This window comes from Homo sapiens, chromosome 2, assembly GCF_000001405.40.
Source record: "Homo sapiens chromosome 2, GRCh38.p14 Primary Assembly".
NCBI classification, from domain to species: Eukaryota; Metazoa; Chordata; class Mammalia; order Primates; family Hominidae; genus Homo; species Homo sapiens.
In genome coordinates this window covers 78,898,184-78,917,068 of record NC_000002.12, presented here as the reverse complement: position 1 = coordinate 78,917,068, position 18,885 = coordinate 78,898,184, and the positions used below count along the sequence as shown (strand labels likewise).

General features: G+C 37.2%; 1 long non-coding RNA gene across 2 annotated transcripts in view; it reads left to right on the top strand.

The window, feature by feature from the left end:
• LOC105374822 (uncharacterized) overlaps window positions 1–16,544 on the top strand; it is a 30,622-nt gene extending 14,078 nt beyond the window's left edge. For both annotated transcript variants that reach the window (XR_940276.3, XR_940278.2), the window contains exons 3-5: window positions 2,125–2,271; window positions 7,740–7,987; window positions 16,363–16,544. This is a non-coding gene — a long non-coding RNA (uncharacterized LOC105374822). The remainder of the gene's footprint in view (window positions 1–2,124; window positions 2,272–7,739; window positions 7,988–16,362) is intronic.
• The last annotated feature ends 2,341 nt before the right edge of the window (window positions 16,545–18,885 follow it).

Below are 18,885 nucleotides of genomic sequence, written 5' to 3'. Positions count from 1 at the left end.
CTGTTCTCATGTGAGAGGGCTTCAGTTACAATGACCCTTTGAGTTTGTTCTTTATTTGTAACTCATAATTTCCCAGGAAGGAGGATTGATTTACTTGTTTGCTGAGACTGACAAAGGACATGCTTAACTCAAATATTTCTGGATTTTCCTTTTGGAACTGTTGCTTGGAGAAAGTGTGCATCCTACCCTTATTCTACTTCATCCATTTCCTTGTAAAAAACTGATATTTTAAGGTCTATCTTCTTGCTTTCATGAATTTCTGAATTTCTTCAGAATCTGTAGTCAAAGGGATATGGCTCATTAGGCCTCCCTTAAACTTTAATATTTCTCTCAGGAATTCAGATCAGAGAAATGTAATTGCCATATTTAGAAAGGTCAACCTGGAGTATTGTTTTTTCTTCTTTGTTTTATAAAGAACAAGTATTTACTTAGCTTGCTTGAATAAAGAGAAAATGGAATGGGATCTGAAAAGTCATTAAAGATGGAAAAAGCCCTAAAACCTTGCATCTCCCCCATTCCCCACCTTCTGCTCATTCTAGTTCACTTTTAGCTTCTATCTCCTCTGTGGATCTCTTTCCATTAGCAGCTTTCTATGCTTACGCATAGTTTCTACTCAAGTAGTTTAAACTTGTGAAAGAGTTAACCTCAGCTGGTCTGATTGATCTCTTGCTTACTTCTGGAGCTACAGACCCTTGGCCAACAGTATGAAATATTTTAACTAAAAGCGTATGATGTTCTGTGACTATGCATCCATGAGTGGGATATGCCAGCCTGTCAGCATTGTTTAATCATAATAATTGGATTTATGACTTAGGTCAGGGAGACTTCAGTGATTATGGCTGGTCAGACAGCTTATTCTTTGAGAGCTTCATCATGAGCTGAATTTGGGCTTTCTGGCACCGAGGTGCTTCGCACACACCCCAGTGATGGTTTGGAGCGAGTCCTGTGCAACACAAATCAGACAAGGGAGAACAAAGGGGCCTGTGCCTTAGCTCCTTGGACCTCTGTCAATGCATATTCTTCCCCGGCTGTTGAACTATATCCTTTGCCTGTAATAAACCCTTTGAGTCCTTCCAGCAATCAAACACTGATGGTGATTAATGTGTAAATTAACACAGCTTGCCATGGCCCCAAACTCTCCTTCACAGCATCCTTCACTTTACCTCCTATTACTAATAGGCTCAAGTATTAGTGGCTTATATTTACAGGGAAGACTTATTGGCCCAAATTATCTTTTTTATTACATGGAATAGATCATAATTTCAAAAAAAACAAGTAGATTATGGATTAACTATTCTTGGGCCAGATCCAGTCTTTGGGCAATCACCTGTGACCAAGGATCCAAAGTCATGCTGTGCAAAGAAAGCATGGCCTCCTGAGAACCAGGAGTTGTGAACCAGGCAGTTTTACTTTCACAGAGATGTAACTCTGGAGAGTTCTGAGGATAGGTTATACAACGGAAATATCCATATGTATATGCATTTCATGACAGCTGCCTACTTCCTTAGCCAGCACCAGAAGGCTCACACTGCTCTGGTTCCTTAGCACCTAGTAGGTTTCCTGGATCAGTAAATGCTTATCAAATGAGTGAATATGTCTAGATTATATTGGGCAGAAACTGATGACAGTTTGATCAAATGGGCTCATAGAGAAGACTAGATAATTCAAGATGAGAGATAGGGATGGATGGTTTAAGCTCATGGTATAAAATTGGTTTTGTTCATTGGTTGATTCCAACACTGGGAATTTAAAGACTAGTTTGGACATAGACAAGATATAGCCAACTAGGAATGTGGCCACAGATGATGTCAAAAATTTCTTATCTGAAAATCACTGAAGGTTTTGGAGGAAGGTCTGAGTTATTCATTGCTATAGGTAAAAAAGGAAATGGAGGGCGTATGACCAGGTAATTGTGATTGCTTTGTAACCATGGCAGCTGTGTAGATGTGAAGACCAGGGGCCAAGATAAAAAAGAAAAAACAAATGGTAAAAATAACTATCTTAAATGAGCATTAACTATGTGCCAGGTACTATTCTAAGAACTCTCCTTACATTAACTCATTCAATTCAAAAAAGCCACTTGACTTTGATGTTTCTTTTTTTATATTCCTTGTTTTACAATAGAGGAAACAAAATCAGAGAGGATAGGAAACCTGTCCAAAGTCATATGGCTGATAAGAGGCAGAGTGAAGACTGGACCTGAGCAAGTTTGGTGTAGAAGCCTGTGCTCTTAACTGCCATCCTAGATTCTTTCTTAAGACTTCTTCTGAGGTGAGTTTGAGTAACACACATTTTGATAAAAGAGTGGCTTGAGACTTCTTTTGTGCTGGAGATATGATAGAATAAACTTTTGAGACATTAGCATTTCTGGCTTTCACAGTGACCTTGTCTGGTGCCCACAAAATCCAGCTATGCTATTCTGTTGAGTCATGCATTATATTCTCAATCTGTCCTCCAGCATCTCATTATACTCATCTTGCCATAGTAGAGAAATTATTTTATAAATTGAATACTGTAGATGTAAAACATTTTTTGTCTCTTTTAAGTCCTATGTTTATTCTGACTGGGTTTTTTTTGCCAAGGATTTTAAATCCTGAGGCTTCACATCATCTTGACGTAAGTATATTCTTTCAAGATCAGTCAAGTGTTTTCAGTATTATCAGATTAGACTGTCTGATTCTGTAATTTCTTCAAGGATGAGGCTGGTATCAGAAGGAACTTGAACTCTTGAGCCCATTCTACATCATTTAATAGAAGCAAATCTCAAAATAGCTTTCCTAAGAAGTCTAGTATGTTATTAATAAGATGATAGTTTGCCTTATTTTTCAATTCTGTGTTTATCTTATGAAAGAATGACAACTTCACAACCACTTTACTATATCAGCACAGTAATAAGAGCTGCCAATCATGTAATGCCTACAATGTGCCAGACATCGTGTTGGGCATTCCCCCTGTTCCCTCAATAATACTCTGAGGAATGAGGAAGGTTTTAATAGCCCTCTTTTATGAATAGTAAAACTGCTTTAGAGAGTAACCTATTCAAAGTCACAGAAGGATGAAATGAAGAAGCTTGAATGTGATCTCAGGTACCTAGGACTCTAAATCCCATACTCTTAATTATTACACTAAACTGCTTTCTCACCTTATTTATTATTGCTACAATAACTCTTAGAAATGAGACATTTACAAAGCTTAAAATATTATTTTATTTAGTCTTTAAAAGAGTTTCAATAATAGTTAGGGTTCATTATAGAAGGAGTAAGTTCCTGCTCCATTGCCCTTGGTACTGTGGGTTTAGTATTTGTATTGAGTACAGCCATTATGTGGCAAAGCATCTCAAAGCCATTTGCTGAAACCACAGAGATACTATCAGTGTGAAACACCCAAATATTTACAATATATTTTCTTCTCTTCCTTGGATAAAATGCTATCATAAAACATCAAAATGCCCTCCTAAAGATAGAAAATAACTCCAAAGAGGGATAATTGGATGTATTAAAGTCCTAAACACCTCAAGCCTCATCTACAAGCTGAGTGATAAACAACACTGTTCTCTCCTTTGAGGTCTGAAAGAGTTAATTGTTTTTCAAACAGGGAACAGTTTACTCCCATAGAGCAGGGCGATTAGATGACAGTGGATTTCAGAAGGTTTTATGCTTGAAATACTTGAACACAATGGAATTTTATCTTCCTCTTACAAAATGTAGCTTTATTTTTTCTTTTCTTTATTTCTTTCCTTACACATGAATGATAGGCTATTAAAGGTATTCTTTGGGGGGAAATATTTTTGACTTACAGTGCTGTGGAAAGTTGATTTAATCAACAAAATGCCAAGCTGATAACCACTCTCATTTCCTTGCCATAGAAAATAAGAGGAATAAATTCAAGACAGTAGGGCATTATAGGAAAATGCCTCCAGACCTTTTGTCACTAATGTAGACATCTTTAATAATGGGTAATAGTGTCTCCCTTTGATGAAAGGGTCAAACACATGACTGCGTACACAGTGTTTTTTAGACAGGTATTTTATGCAAACTGCCTCTCAAATATTCACTATCCCTTGACTGATTTAATAACTCAGTTAGGTTGTCATTTCTGTTGGTTAAGAATGTGTTATTTTTATAGAAACACATATACCCTTAAGAGATTATGTAATATCCTGATCCCCAAAAGCATGTACCTTAATGTCAACCTATTTAGGTTTTGGTGGAGGATATCTGATGTTTATTATAGTGAATGGCATAAAACATATGATGAATAAATACTTGCTAAAGAAATGAATGAAAGGGGGCTGATGACAAGGCAGATACCCAGAGAAAAGGTAAAACAAAGGAGAGCCTGAGGGCTCCGCTTGGTTGAAATGTTGCCTATTTCTAATTCTATTTCTTACACTCACTCTAAAGATGCAGCTCACTTAGCCTTTAAGAGAAACAGGTAGGACTAAACCCAGACAACATTTCAATTAGATGAGAGCAGACTGAATGCAGAGAGCTAAGGACAAAGCCAAAGTTATGGAATATGTAACCCAGACCTTTAAATTATGAATTAGGATTCTTCCTTTAATAAAAGAAAATCTGCACCGGAACAGTCAAGGCAAAGAAGACTTTAAAACTATTGCAATAGGGGTCAAGGCTAATAAATAGAAGAGAAAAATTCAACTCAACTCTGCTCAGAGAAAAAGCAGAAGGATGTTTAAATGCTGGGCAATCTAATGGAAAAGTGCTACAGGACAGTTAGTGAGGAGGTTGGTTAGTGTGATTAGACTATCTGTGTTTGCTAGTTGTCTCTTATCAAAGTTAGGCTCTTACCTTACAACAGAGACTAAAGGATAAGGGCCGTATCTTTCTTAATAGTTATATATCAAAGGGATGGCTCCCAGGTTCTTGTGAAAGTCATTCCTGGGTTCTAAAAGATTTACATCTCAAAGGTGCAGAGAAATTATTCACAACTGCAAGTTTTCTGAAGTAAATCCTGTAAGAAAAGGAGATCTGGGACCTATAGACAGGAAGAGGCCTATCTAAAGTTTAGTCAAGTTGAGGGGAATGTTGAGGCCATCTTAATCCTCCTCCCTCCTTCCTTCTTTCCCTTTCTCCTTCCTACTTTCCTTTTCCTTCCTTTTTCTTTTATCTCTTTCTCTCTCTCACTCTTTTTTTCATTTGGAAAACTATTTTTAAGCACTCAAGATGTAGGAAAATAAAAGTTTACTAATAAATCAGAGAGGAAAGGACACCATTTTGGGTCCTCAGGCAACATTTACTCTTGGCTTTCTCTTCTTTTTCACTGCCTGATAAGATACCTCTTTGTTTCCTACAGACATGGTCTTAGGGGCCTCATGTTGTACTACTAGACTGTGACCAAGCAAGGGTGTTACCTCATTATTACTAAAATAATAAATTTATTTTACACATGGAAAAATATATTATATGTCTTTCCCCATCGTTTTTTGCTCCCTACCGTCAACCAACCTTTAACAACACACAACTACTCATTGCCACTTTCTCCCTCTGCCTTGAAATGTGTAAAGTGTCTCTGAACAAATGTGGACAAATTCTCCTGCCTCACTGTTAACAATCTTTATCCATTTCCACCCTTGGAGCAGATAGAGAAGTTCTCTTCCTTGCCCCTCACAATTTATGCCAGTTCTCCTTGAAATCATAAACTAGTATGAATGGCCAAAAGCCAAACCAAGGACTCAAATAAGAGTGTGTGTGTGTGTGTGTGTGTGTGTGTGTGTGTGTGTGTGTGTGATGGGGGAAGGGGGTTATTGAAGAGGCAGGAGACTTGGGCTACTTGTGTGAATACGGAAAAGGTAAATTAGAATAAAATAAAAATAAACACATCAACCATTGTGTTTTATTTAACCTAAATTGTCCTTGGAAGTAAACATTGAGACACACAAACTGTAGGAAGCTGTATTTTCCTGGCTCTTTTTTCCATCAGATAATGCTGAAATCATCCATTTCCCCTAGTCCTCTTCAAGAATGGCCTTGTCTTCTTTGCCTGCTCTGTCTTGGATCCTGCCATTGTCGGAGCTGTGTGCCCTGGGCATTCCAGTAGGGCCACCAACCCTCTGGAGGTGTCTGTTATTTGTCCCCCTGGAAGCTGGATCCCATCCTTGCTGGAGCTAAGGTACTTAGCCATCAGTGTAGGAAAACAGTAACACAAGGCTCTCTGCTGAAGACCGAATCCTCATTGCCAGTCCCAGTGCCCCAGTTTATCTTAGTACTTTCTCATGTTTATTTCCTCTAAAGATACTTCTTGCCATTTCAATCTTTTTGGAGTTGTAGCTTCTTCATCTCCAGAACCAGATTCTAGCCCATGGGGATGGGCTAGAGCACAAATCTGAGTGACACACTCCATGCTATAATCAGAATTGCTTCTCTCCTCTCACAACTCATAGGGAGCTCTTCCCTGAAGATGACGTTTTTATTAGCAATCTTATGCATCCTTCATACAAATATATTCTTAGCAGAGATTCCAGGAATAATCCTCCAGATATTCCCAGCAGGGAATATGGCTAACACTTAAGATAAGTTTCCAACACATAAATATGCTGCACTTTTCTTCTGCAGCCAAGTTAGCAAAGATGGAACGCTACAGCTCTCTGCTCTCCTGTTGATGCGAAGACTACAATAAGGCAGTTATTGCTAATGATGAGATTCACAATGGGAGCAGGCTCACATACTTGAAATTTACTGTTTCTGATGTGTGTGTACTATCCCTCCGGGGTGTAGCGAGCTGAACAAAGGTTGAGAATGCCTGTTCTAATGAGTCTGTTTCTGAAACTTTAGAAGCTCCCATAGTGACTTAATCACAGATATCACAGCTTGTTCTGAGAGTAGTACAGGCCATAAATTCTTGAGAACAAACAAACAAACAAACAAACAAAAAAACCTTGAGTGTTGGGCAAAATTATAATAAAATACTAATAGTGAAATGGCTATTAAGATAACCACTTTCTTACCAGCTTATTTTGATAGAAGGACATAGGATACGGAAAACAAATTTATGTCTGTGTTGCCAACAGAAAGCTCTTCTTTTCTTTTATATTTAAATAAATGATGATCTTCTACCTAGTATCCTGGTATAAATATGTGTTGGTTAGGACTCTTTCTGAAATAAATGGTATATTAGTTTCCTATTGCTGCTGTAACAAACTACCACACATTAAGTTACATGAAAGAACACAAGTTTATATCTTATAGTTCTGGTCAAAGATCTGAATTAAATCAAGAGGGTTCCTTCTAGAGCATATAGGGGAAAATACATTTCCTTGCCTTTTCCAGCTTCTAGAGGCTCTCCCTGTTCTTTGCGTCGTAATACCCAAATCACTCTGACCTCTATTTCTGTCATTACATCTTCTTCTCTGATCCTGACCCTTGTACCTCCCTCTTATAAGGACTATTGTCATTATTTTGGGTCCGTTTGGATAATCTAGAATAACCTTCTGATCTCAAGATCCTGTTTAATCACATCTGCAAAATCCCTTTTGCCGTGCAAGGTAACATAGTCTCAGGTTCTGGCGGTTAGCACCTGGACATCTTTGTGGGGTGGGGTGGAATGGGGGGGCATTTTTCTGTCTGTAATAAACCTAAAACCCAACTCAAGCTGGAATCAATCACAGATGGGATGTTGGGGCTAATGTAATTGAGAAAACCAAATGAAATATATCTTGACCAATAATTTAAAACCATATCAGAGATTCAGTTTGGTTCTGTCTTCTGCTTTACTGATTTTAGGATCAGCCTCATACAAAAGGGTAATGGTGGCAGCAGCTCCAGAACTCATATCATATCCTCCCATGTTAAAGTCAAATGAGAAAAGTCTGTCTTCGCCCCAGGATTCCCAGCGATGCCTCCTGATGTGTCATTGGCTCGGATTGCATCATGTGCCCTCCGTGGACTTTGTCCAGATGAATGTTTTAGATTCCTTGTCCCCAGTTACCTCATCTTTAAAATGAAGACAAGACTCAGAGTTGGCTTTCCAGGTACAAAGGAGCAAAGCATTAAATTGCAAATAAAAACAACATAATAGCTTAGGAGAAATGCTGAAAAAAAGATTCATCCTTTTTGAACAGAGGACTGTGCATTCCCATTTTGCACTGGGCCTCTTGAATGATGTAGCCAGTCCTAATAATACTTACAGGGTTGCTATGAACATTAAATGAGTTAATAGAAGTAAAACATTAAGAATAGTATTTGGCACATAGTAAGCATTCAGTAAATGTAAACTATCATTGTTACCATAAAACATCCAGGGACTTTTTAGAGCGAACATCTCATTGGATTTTTCTCAGACCCCAATTGTCAGCATCAATTTGGCTGTTTTTTTTCCTCAGGTCACTTTAAATAAAGTAACTCATTATAAATCTGGGAGAAGGGGGGTTTTTTAATTGCAAAAGAAATTTTATATTTTCTTCAATATCCAACAGTCATGCCAGCTGTTTTATTTCAGGCTACCAATGGGAAGCTACTTAATGAAGTTTCTTATAGTTTAATGATTTGTGTGGCATAAATTATTTGTCTTAATGTCATTCCTGGGGCATTTTCCAATTGTTTCGAAGAGTAAGCAGTAAAAAAAAAAAAAAAATTACAGTGTGTTTCCATATTCCCACAACACCTGGTGAGAAATAATCTGTTTCCTCAATTGTGGTTCCATCATTTATTTTACTTTTATTCCTTCACAGCAAGATCCTTCAGTGCTTATTTACTTATTGCATATATGCTAAAGATCCCAATAATTGCACATCCAGCACACAATTGAATCTACTGAGATTCTCATTACACCTCTCAAAAGTTCGAGTAAGGAAAATGTTAGAACGAGCATTAGTGTGAGCATTAGAGAGTCATGCTTTCTAGGGGAAATAATTTAGCCATTGATGCAACTATGTTAATGTGAGTGTTGCAAAAATATAATGTGGTTATCAAAAGAGTTGGAGGTTAGATAAGATGAATGCATTACAGGACATGGTGAAGTCAGAGATTAAGCTTTACAAACATGACAAATAAAACTGATTTGCTTTTTATGACTTAAATTGCTAATTAATATTTGTTCAGTTCTAGGATTCATTGTGCTTGAACAAAAACATGAACTGGTTAGTTTTTTCCCCATTCATTTTGTGGCAGGTCATTAATTTGGTACCAGTAGAATATTGTATTTGTAGTATTTCATATTGTACTGCCTACGATGCTGTGGTTATTTTTAAAAAGAGATTTTTTTCAACTAGTATAATGACTATATTATGCATTCTGATTGTCTTAATTTGCACATATTGTTGATTTAAAATTGCTCTTCAGATTTTTTCTCAAGTATATTTTATTCCTAACAAGGTTTTGAGTTTTTCTGAAGCAAACAAAAATATTCTTTAAAAAAAAAAAAAAACTCCCTACTGTCATACATAAAGTGCTGAAGACTGTGAGTCAAAAGTGCTTCATTGAAAAATTAAACAAACCTTTATACAACATAGATTATATAGTCAATCATTATGCATGTAAGAATGGACCCTCTTAGTTTTACCTGGCATAACCTGTTGAATTAGAATTCATTACTTTCCTGAATGCCTCTAAATTTTTTTGGAACAATAACAGTTTTTATATTCTGTGATAGGTAATGAGTTTCACCTCTCACAAAGTAAAAGCATTCAAATTCCTCTCACTTTAGCCTTTAGAAAATAAATTACTAAGTACCATTAACATAATACTGTATAATGAAGTCTAAGGCATCTTACGGAGAAATTCTTCCTTCACTTTTTTCTTCTTGAAACTCAGTCAGGAATCTGAGAATTCCTGTTTTTCAAGCAAACATATTTTCCTTTTTTTTTTTTTTTTTTGACAGTAGGGCAGAGTAATTAAGGAGACATGTTTCAGGAACCAGGCTGACCTGACACAAATTCTGTTTCTAATTCTATTAGCTATGAAAGGAGATCAAGTTATTTAACCTAAGTCACAGTCTCTTTCCCTGTAAAGTGCAATTAATTATAATACATTTATTTTCTTGTGTGTGTATGTTTGCATGTATTAATGAAATAATGAAAGTAGTATACAGCATACTCCTGTTAAGGTAATAAATACTTGTTCAGTTATTACTGGTTCTGCCTGATCATAGGTAGGAGTGGATCAACTTGAGAACTTTACTTTTTAGGTAAAGAAAGATGAAAGTATGACACAACTTTGGTTCATGATTTTACAAGGGCTAAACAGTGAAGTGACCAGCAAATCACATAAAGTATTTTGTGTTGTTTTCTAGAAGGATTTGAGATGACTGTCAGCTAAAAAGCATTTAACTTCTTTGAGTGTGTGTGAATACTGGTCAACCATGTCATCATCTGTCTTTAGTCAAAAGAAAAAAAAAGATAGGGTGTGTGTGTGTGTGTGTGTGTGTGTGTGTGTGTGTGTGTGTGTGTGTGTACTTTCCTCTCCAAGGCTGGAAGGAAGAAGCTGAAATGTTCTCAGTGCTGCTTGAAAGGGCCCTGGTTGAAAACCTTTTCTACCTTAATCACAGGCTCTCCTTGTCAGCCTCCCTTTCTTTCAGTAATCATCCAGTTTACTGTGGGCAAAAGCTCATGACTACTGTGTCCTTATCTGTGCCACCTTTGACTAGGAGAAGACAGGGTTATCTGTATGTTTGGGCATTAAGGTAGTGAGCATTGTGGGTATGATAGTCCCTGTTAATGAGCAGGTGATTTGCTTAGTGGGTCTCTTTCCTAAGACTGGGTATGAGTATTGGCAATAGGACCTGACTACTAAGGGTTTGCCCTAGTCTGAAGGGTTTAGTAGGATTTTCAGCCCTGACACTAGGACAGTCCCCCACATTAGATCTGCCTTCATATTTTTGGTTCGTCAGTGTATAATTGGTGGGGATTTTTTCTTTAGTTCGTGGCCAGTGGAAACCTGTTTTTTCTTCTCATCAACTTCGAAGAAACCACTTGAGATTTCTTTTGAATGGTAAGGTATTTGATGATAGCTTATGGAATTTGTCCACCTTCCTTTCATTCCTCTCTCAGATGTGTGGAATATAAAAGTTATTCTCAATTATATATTACACGTCTTGTATTCCATTCATCTAGCCATACGGCAGTTCTCTTTAGAATACAAACATGGAAAATAATATATTTCCCTTCCAACTTCAGATTGCTTGTATCAATCATGTTCTTACTAAACTGATTTCTGACAGTCTTTTATTCTACCTTCATTTAGCTTCTTGCTGCACTTACTGATGAAGCCAAATATGTTTTCATGGCTTTCTTCAAACTCTGTGATTTGTATGAATTGTATTTCCTTTCCTTTTTTGCTTGGTTATTGCCCTCGAAATAGTGTATGACTTCAAATCTTTTCTTTTTCTCACATTGGGTCTGCTTATTATCATTGTCATTATCATTATTATTTAGCTTATTATTTTCAGTTTCCTTAGGCCGCTGTTTTTATTCCTATTTCTTGCCTTTTTTTTTTTAACCTGTAACTCCACTATTGGTCTCCTTTCTCGTTTATTTTTGTCTTTGGCTGCCTTTAGCATTCTCCCCCAAATTTTAATGACGAAAGCTGAGGCAGGTATAAGTTTGGTGAGTTTCAGTAGCTAGATTTGCTTTTCTTTCCACTTGTAAAAAAGTGCTTCGATTTATTCTTAATTATAAAACACAGAAGACGATTGTAAACTTTTAGAAAATATAAAGATACCTGAAGAAAATAAATATCAGATCATATTCCAACTCTTAGAACCTATTAAATCATAGACTGCCTATATAACTCTGAATCAGGCAAACAGTAAGCATTTAATGAATGCTTAGTGTTACTGTCACTGTTGCAATTAAACAGTAATGAAAAAATAATACCTGCAAACTTTTATATTTTACAATGTCTTTATGTAACAAAAAATGGTAGTCTTTATTTTCATGATGCATCTTTTGCCAATAAGGATCATATTGCATAATCACAAAGGTCATGATTTTTACAGAAAGGAAATCCTATGTTATTACTCTATATGCTCAGTACATTTGGGTTTTTGCAGTAATAATAATAACTTTGCGTGATTTTTCAAACTAACGTCTGACTTCTCTTATGCTAGTGGCTAAAATTTGCAAGACGTATAGCAAGATGGAATGATTATGATTATTTCTAACTTTAATAACCCTTTTAAAAAGCCAAGGCAACGGAAATTGATCCTTGATTTGGCAATGCCCCTTCTATATACAATATTCTAATATCAAAAGCTAATATTTATAGAGTCCAGCTGCCAAGGTCCTTTCCTTATACCCTATAAATGAACTTTTTTCTGGCCGGGCGTGATGACTCATGCCTGTAATCCCAGCACTTTGGGAGGCCGAGTCAGGTGGATCACCTGAGGTCAGGAGTTCAAGACCAGCCTGGCCAAAATGATGAAACCCCGTCTCTACTAAAAATACAAAAATTAGCCAGGTGTGGTGGAGGGCACCTGTAATCCCAGCTACTCAGGAGGCTGAGGCAGGAGAATCACCTGAACCTGGGAGGCAGAGGCTGTAGTGAGCTGAGATTGCACCTGGCAACAAGAGGGCAACTTCCTCTAAAAAAAAAAAAAAAAAAAAAGAACTTGTTCTGTAAGAAGCCGGCTGATAATTATTTTCAGCCTTGTGGGCCATATGGTCTCTATCACAGCTACTGAACTCTGCTGTTGTAGTGTGAAAGCAGCCACAGACGAGATGTAAGCAAATGGACTTGGTTGTGTTCTAATCAAACTTTATTTACAAAAGCAGGTGGTAGGCCAGATTTGTCCTGCAAGCTATAGTTTGCATGTATATAGTTTGTGCGTGTTCATTGCAACACTAGTCACTATAGCAAAGACATTTAATCAACCTAAATGCCCATCAATGATAGACTGGATGAAGCAAATGTGGTACATATATACCATGGAATACCATGCAGCCATAAAAAGAACAAGATCATATCCCTTTTCAGGACATGAATAGAGCTGGAGACCATTATCCTTAGCAAACTAATGCAGGAGCAGAAAACAAAATACTACATTTTTCAATTATAAGTGTGAGCTGAACAATGAGAACACATGAACACATAGAGGGGAACAACACACACTGAGGCCTATTGGAGGGTGGAGGTTGGGAGGAGGGAGAGGATCAGGAAAAATAACTAACGGGTGTAGGCTTAATACCTGAGTGACAAAATAATCTGTACAACAAACCCCACCCTTAATTCCTGGGTGACAAAATAATCTATACAACAAGTTATCTACATAACAAACCTGCACATGTACACTTGAACTTAAAATAAAAGTTAAAATTTTAAAAAATGTTACAAAGTACATGACAGACTAGATATTCTAACCAGTTTTCCAACCAAAGTCTGTGATGTTCCAAAGCCTGCAGCAGTTTCTATGTTCCTAAAAATGGCTTGAATCACTCATTTCTAAGGTGACAGTTCACTAAATTTGTTACCACCCCCAAAGGGATTTAATTGCTTAAACAACTGAGCATTTAAAGGACTAATTTTCTCACTAATTTATAGTTCCAGTAGTAATATTAATATTTTTGTTTCTTGCTCTCTTAGAGCTCTGCTATGGAATCTGGGACCTAGAGTGATAGATAGTCTAGTCTTTCTCTTTCTGTACTTTATAAACTATCTCTGAATAATGAGAATAATGAATGAATTTTTCCTTTATTATTTTCTGGGCTTTCCAAACATCAAATATAATATGTTCTCCAAAACACTTTTTTTAAAAAGGATGAAACAAAATTTGTATCATACCTGGATCCAATTACAGGATAAAATATTCACAGATGATAGGTAACTTAGTTCACATGGAATTTGTTTTAGAAAACTATTGGTTTTCTTGACCTGCTGGGATTCAGTGGAAAGAAAATAGAATTATTTTGATCTCTCTGGCTCCATCACATACCAGTAGCATGAACTGCCCTGATTCTCAGCACCTTTATATGTAACATAGAGTTAATAATAATACCGAAAAGGATTTTGGTGAGGATGAAATGTGAAAAGTGCTACGTTAACAGAGATACTATGCAAACATTTATGTCACCCAGATGTACCTAAATATTTCAGCTTTCTGGAACAACCCTGTCTTATAAAATTTAAATTAAATGGCCTGAACCCCATCTCACATATGAAGGACTACTCGTGTCTGTCTTCGTGTTACTAGGGTTTATCCGTTGTTGTTTTGAAAAGGCTAACATTACTTTTAGTTACTTCTTGCACTCCTTGCATTTCCTGTTTGTGCTTTTTAAACTTTTTTCAGTATTGAGCATTCATACCTCTTGCGGCTGTTGCCTTTTCTGTGATTTTTATGCAGAACTAAATGGAAACACAGCTCAAGGTGTGCACATTAAACTTTACAGAAAAGATAGGTACCCAGATGCATCTCTCAAGCCCACCTTCCTATCCCACCTGCCAGTTTTTAATCTCTCCCAATTTCCTTCTTGGTATTTTTCTAGGCAGAGCAATTCAGCTCACTCTTGATGTCTCCTTCCACACTCTTCCCACTGCTGGCTTCTTTCTACATTCAAAATAGCAATTTTTTTTTCTCAATTAGAAGATATCTTTCCTGGCCGGGCGCGGTGGCTCACGCCTGTAATCCCAGCACTTTGGGAGGCCGAGGCGGGCGGATCACGAGGTCAGGAGATCGAGACCATCCCGGCTAAAACGGTGAAACCCCGTCTCTACTAAAAATACAAAAAAGTAGCCGGGCGTAGTGGCGGGCGCCTGTAGTCCCAGCTACTTGGGAGGCTGAGGCAGGAGAATGGCGTGAACCCGGGAGGCGGAGCTTGCAGTGAGCCGAGGTCCCGCCACTGCACTCCAGCCTGGGCGACAGAGCGAGACTCCGTCTCAAAAAAAAAAAAAGAAGATATCTTTCCTAGAGAGGAATTTCCATTCCCCTAGTAGGCAAAATTAACAACAGTCACAAACTAGTTTTTGCCCCCTCTGTGATTTTGTATTAATGTAGCTTAAGGAGAATATTATTTTTTTCTTTCGCTGTAGCTTGTGTTTAGTAGCAATCAAAGTTAAATAGGGCTCCTGTAAAATTTCTGATAGCTAGAACTTTACTAACTCATCCTTTCAGGTAGATTTCTGCATTCAACTTTTAAAACTTTTCCTTACTGAAGTGTAACACACATAAATAATAGTAAATAAAACAAAAACATACAGCTTTCTGAATTATGTTGAAGCAAACACCCTTATACCCATCAACCAGGTCAAGAAATAGACACTGGCATCAACCCCGAAGGTTTACCTTGTGATATTGTGAAATGTATTTATTTGGTCTTCGTCCCAATCCTTGGAATCTCTAAAGTGATGTCTTTTTGTATCCTAATGAGTTAACTGATGCTAACTGATGGCTACTACTTCCTAGGTAGCTTCATGATGGTGTCTGGTCACTAGAAAGGCAGAATTAGAGGGTTAGAGGGTTGGAACTTTCATTCCCATCCCCATCCTCTGGGGAGGGGAGAGGAGCTGAAGGTTAAGTTGATCACCAATGGCCAATGGCTTAATCCATCATGCCTACAGAAGGAAGTTTCCATAAAAACACAAAAAGACTGGGTTCAGACAGCTTCTGAATAGCTGGAAGTTTCTGGCACACATGGAAGCTCTTCGCCCCTTTTGCCATGCTTTGCCGTATGCCTCTCTTCATCTCTATCCTTTGTATTGTCCTTTATAATAAACTGGTAAATGTAAATAAGTGATTCCCTGGGTTCTGTAAGATGCTCTAGTAAATTAGTCAAACACAGGGAGAGGGTTGTTGGAACCTCAATCTATAACCAGTTGGTCAGAAGCACAGGTAAAACAACCTAGGCCTACTATTGGCATAAGATGTAGGGGGCAGTCTTGTGGGACTGAGCCCTCAACCTGTGGGTTCTGATGCTGTCTCCAGGTAGATAGTGTCTGGATTAAATTGGAGGACACCTACCTAGCTAGTGTCCACTGCAGAACTGATTGCCTACTTATTGGTGGGAAGAAATCTCCACACATTTGGTCACAGACATTTTCTCTATTGATTGTTGTTGAGCGAAGGAATAGAAAAAACAATTTGGGTTTGTTTTCTTCCTACATAACCCATAACTTCTCTCAATTTTACTATTATGTTTGCAAGATTCATTTATATTGTTGTAGACAGCGCTAATTCATGACTCTTAACAGCTACTTATAATTTTATTGTGTGAAGAAACCATGATTTCTCTCTTCTTTTGAGGATGTATAGTTAAGTTGTTTTCAGTATTTTGGCTATGACGAGTAAGGTTACTCTGGGTTTATATTATATTTGGGAGTAGATATTGTCAGCCTTCAATTATGCATTTATACAACTGTAGTAAATAGTGATACTTTTTTTTTCTTGATTACTTACTCAAAGTTTTCTTTTTCTCTGCAGACCTAAGCTTCATGTTCTGCCTGTGTGATTCTGTCTTCACGATTCTCATGTTCAATTACCAATACTCAATTCTGTCTTCTACTAAGTATGTACAGCTCTAAAAGACACACCTCAGTATGGGCAATGTTCTCTTAAACTGTGATATCCAAAGCAACTTGTCTTTGCTAAATGAGTACACTTAGCTTGTTTGGAAGAAACTGTCATTTTACTCTCTAAAGCTTACTTCATAGGAAATGGGAAACCATTTTTCTCTTCCGTGAATTTGAAGCTTTCATGTTATTGTATATCCTCAATTAAAGAAAATGGGCAAAATTATACTCAGGCTTTGTGCTGTGTCTCACTTTTCTGCAGCTGGTAAGGCAAAATACATCCCCTGCATGGTGCAGGCAATTGTAAAGAAAGTAGTTAGGGAGAAGGCAACATACTGCTGAAGTCATAACCAAGGCCTGTGATTTAGGGAATCTATATTAGAGGGAACCGCAGGGAGTCAATTGCCATCTATCTGCCTCATACACATTTTAATTATACCACTAACTTTGGCAGGGAGATGTCCTCTAACCCTCTGCTAAGACACATTCTTTGTAAAATTAAAATTGTTCTCCTAGGAGGAGGTATATGCATAGTGAGATGCAAACACAAACACAAGTCCTATTTATTTGAAAGTAACTACTGAAATAAGATGAATCTGGAGGAAAAAAAAGGTCTGCATATCTGTGTGTGTGTGTATGTGTATATATATACAGACACAAAATCATGGCTTTCATCAAGAAAATTAGAAAAAAATAGCCAGGCTATTTCCAGAGATCAAATACGAGAAAGCAAATCTTTACAAAATTTCTACATGAAAATGACCTTCCATGATTTCTGCTTAACTTTGTTTCTTGGTACCTAATAAAATTTCAGTTTCAATTTCAAGATGGAATCATTTTAAAATAATTTAACTATGCTTTATCTCAAATTCCTATTGAAATGACAGAAATATGTTATATATATGTATATGTGTACACACACAAACACACATACATACATAATAAAAAAGGAGCTTCTCCCCTTATTTCCAAACGCCTATTACCTTTCTACTTGATATTTCAACAGTTATATAAATGACATATCCAATTTAATATGACCCCCTCCAAAACACTTGCATTTTGCAAACTTACCTTTTCCATGAACTTTCTTTTCCTCTACTCATTCTCATTTTAGCAAGTAGGATCTCCATTCTTCCACTGACTCATTCAATGGGCTCTACCTCAGACTGTACTAATCTAGTTGGCTTGACTATCGTAATAACCTCTTGCCACTGCCACTAACCATCTCTTTGAGTCCATTCTTCACAAGAAGCCAGAGTGATTCTTTAAAAACAAGTTAGATCTTATATTTCTTTTAAAAATCTCCCAGGGACTTCAGAACACAATCTAAAGTTCTGACCCCCCTCTACATCTCTGATGCCACAACCTACCATGCTCTTTCTTGCCCTCTCTCTCCCAGCCACACTGACCTTATTGCTGTTTTTGGAATAGACTAAACATGATCTTCCCTAAGGCTCTTTCCATTTGCTCTTCCTTCTGCCGGGAGTTCCTTTCTCACAGATAAACTCGTGACTATTTTCCTGGCTTCTTTCAAGTCACACAGAGAGAGGCCTTCTCTGACCAAAATATATGACAGCATCTTCCTTCTTCATTTCATCGAACCATCCTTCAAGTTTTAGTCTATTCCTAAGTGTTTATGATCTGCCTCTTCCTATTAAACTCTAAGCTCCTTAAGAACAGAGACAGATTTGATCACTGTTGTAGTCCTGAAACAGAAGTGCCTGGCACTTTGTAAATGCTCAATTAATACATTTTGAATAAATGAAAAAAAAATCAGTACTAGACAGGAAAACTACTGAGTGTGCCAGAAACACTGAGGATAGCATTATATTTTGGCAAGATTAGTTTGGCAGTCATTTCAACAGTTCTGTGAGCTACCCACTATCTTACAAAGTAAACGAATTTAAAAAGGCATCTTTTGTGATTAATCCACTCAAGTCAGTATCTTTTCTTGTAAGAAAACTATTGACTATTCATAAAATTAATTCTTGAATTGTTTATTCAAGAGATTATCTCTCTTGCTTCAGGATGATGGCTCTGAAAATGCAATGAGTATCAAGAGATGAAACTTTGTTAGTGTGTGATGCACAAGACAAAACAACCAAATAAATTATAGCTAGACAATGATTGAACAACGTTACTAATGATGACATGGCTAGTGGCCAATCCATAGAAAAAATGATAAGATTAAACATTTATGTAGTGTTTACAGAGTCTTACCCAACTTTAAGCACTTCATAGAAATTTATTTAATTGATCTTCATTACGATTCTCTTCTTTAAAACGAGGCAACTGAGGCACAGATAATTAACAGCTTGCCTACACCTAGTTGATGACAGAGATAAGATTCAAACCCTGGCAGTCTAGCTCCAGGGTGTATGCTCTTAAACACTACACATTCTGACATGAACGACATGAGAAATTAAAGGATTCT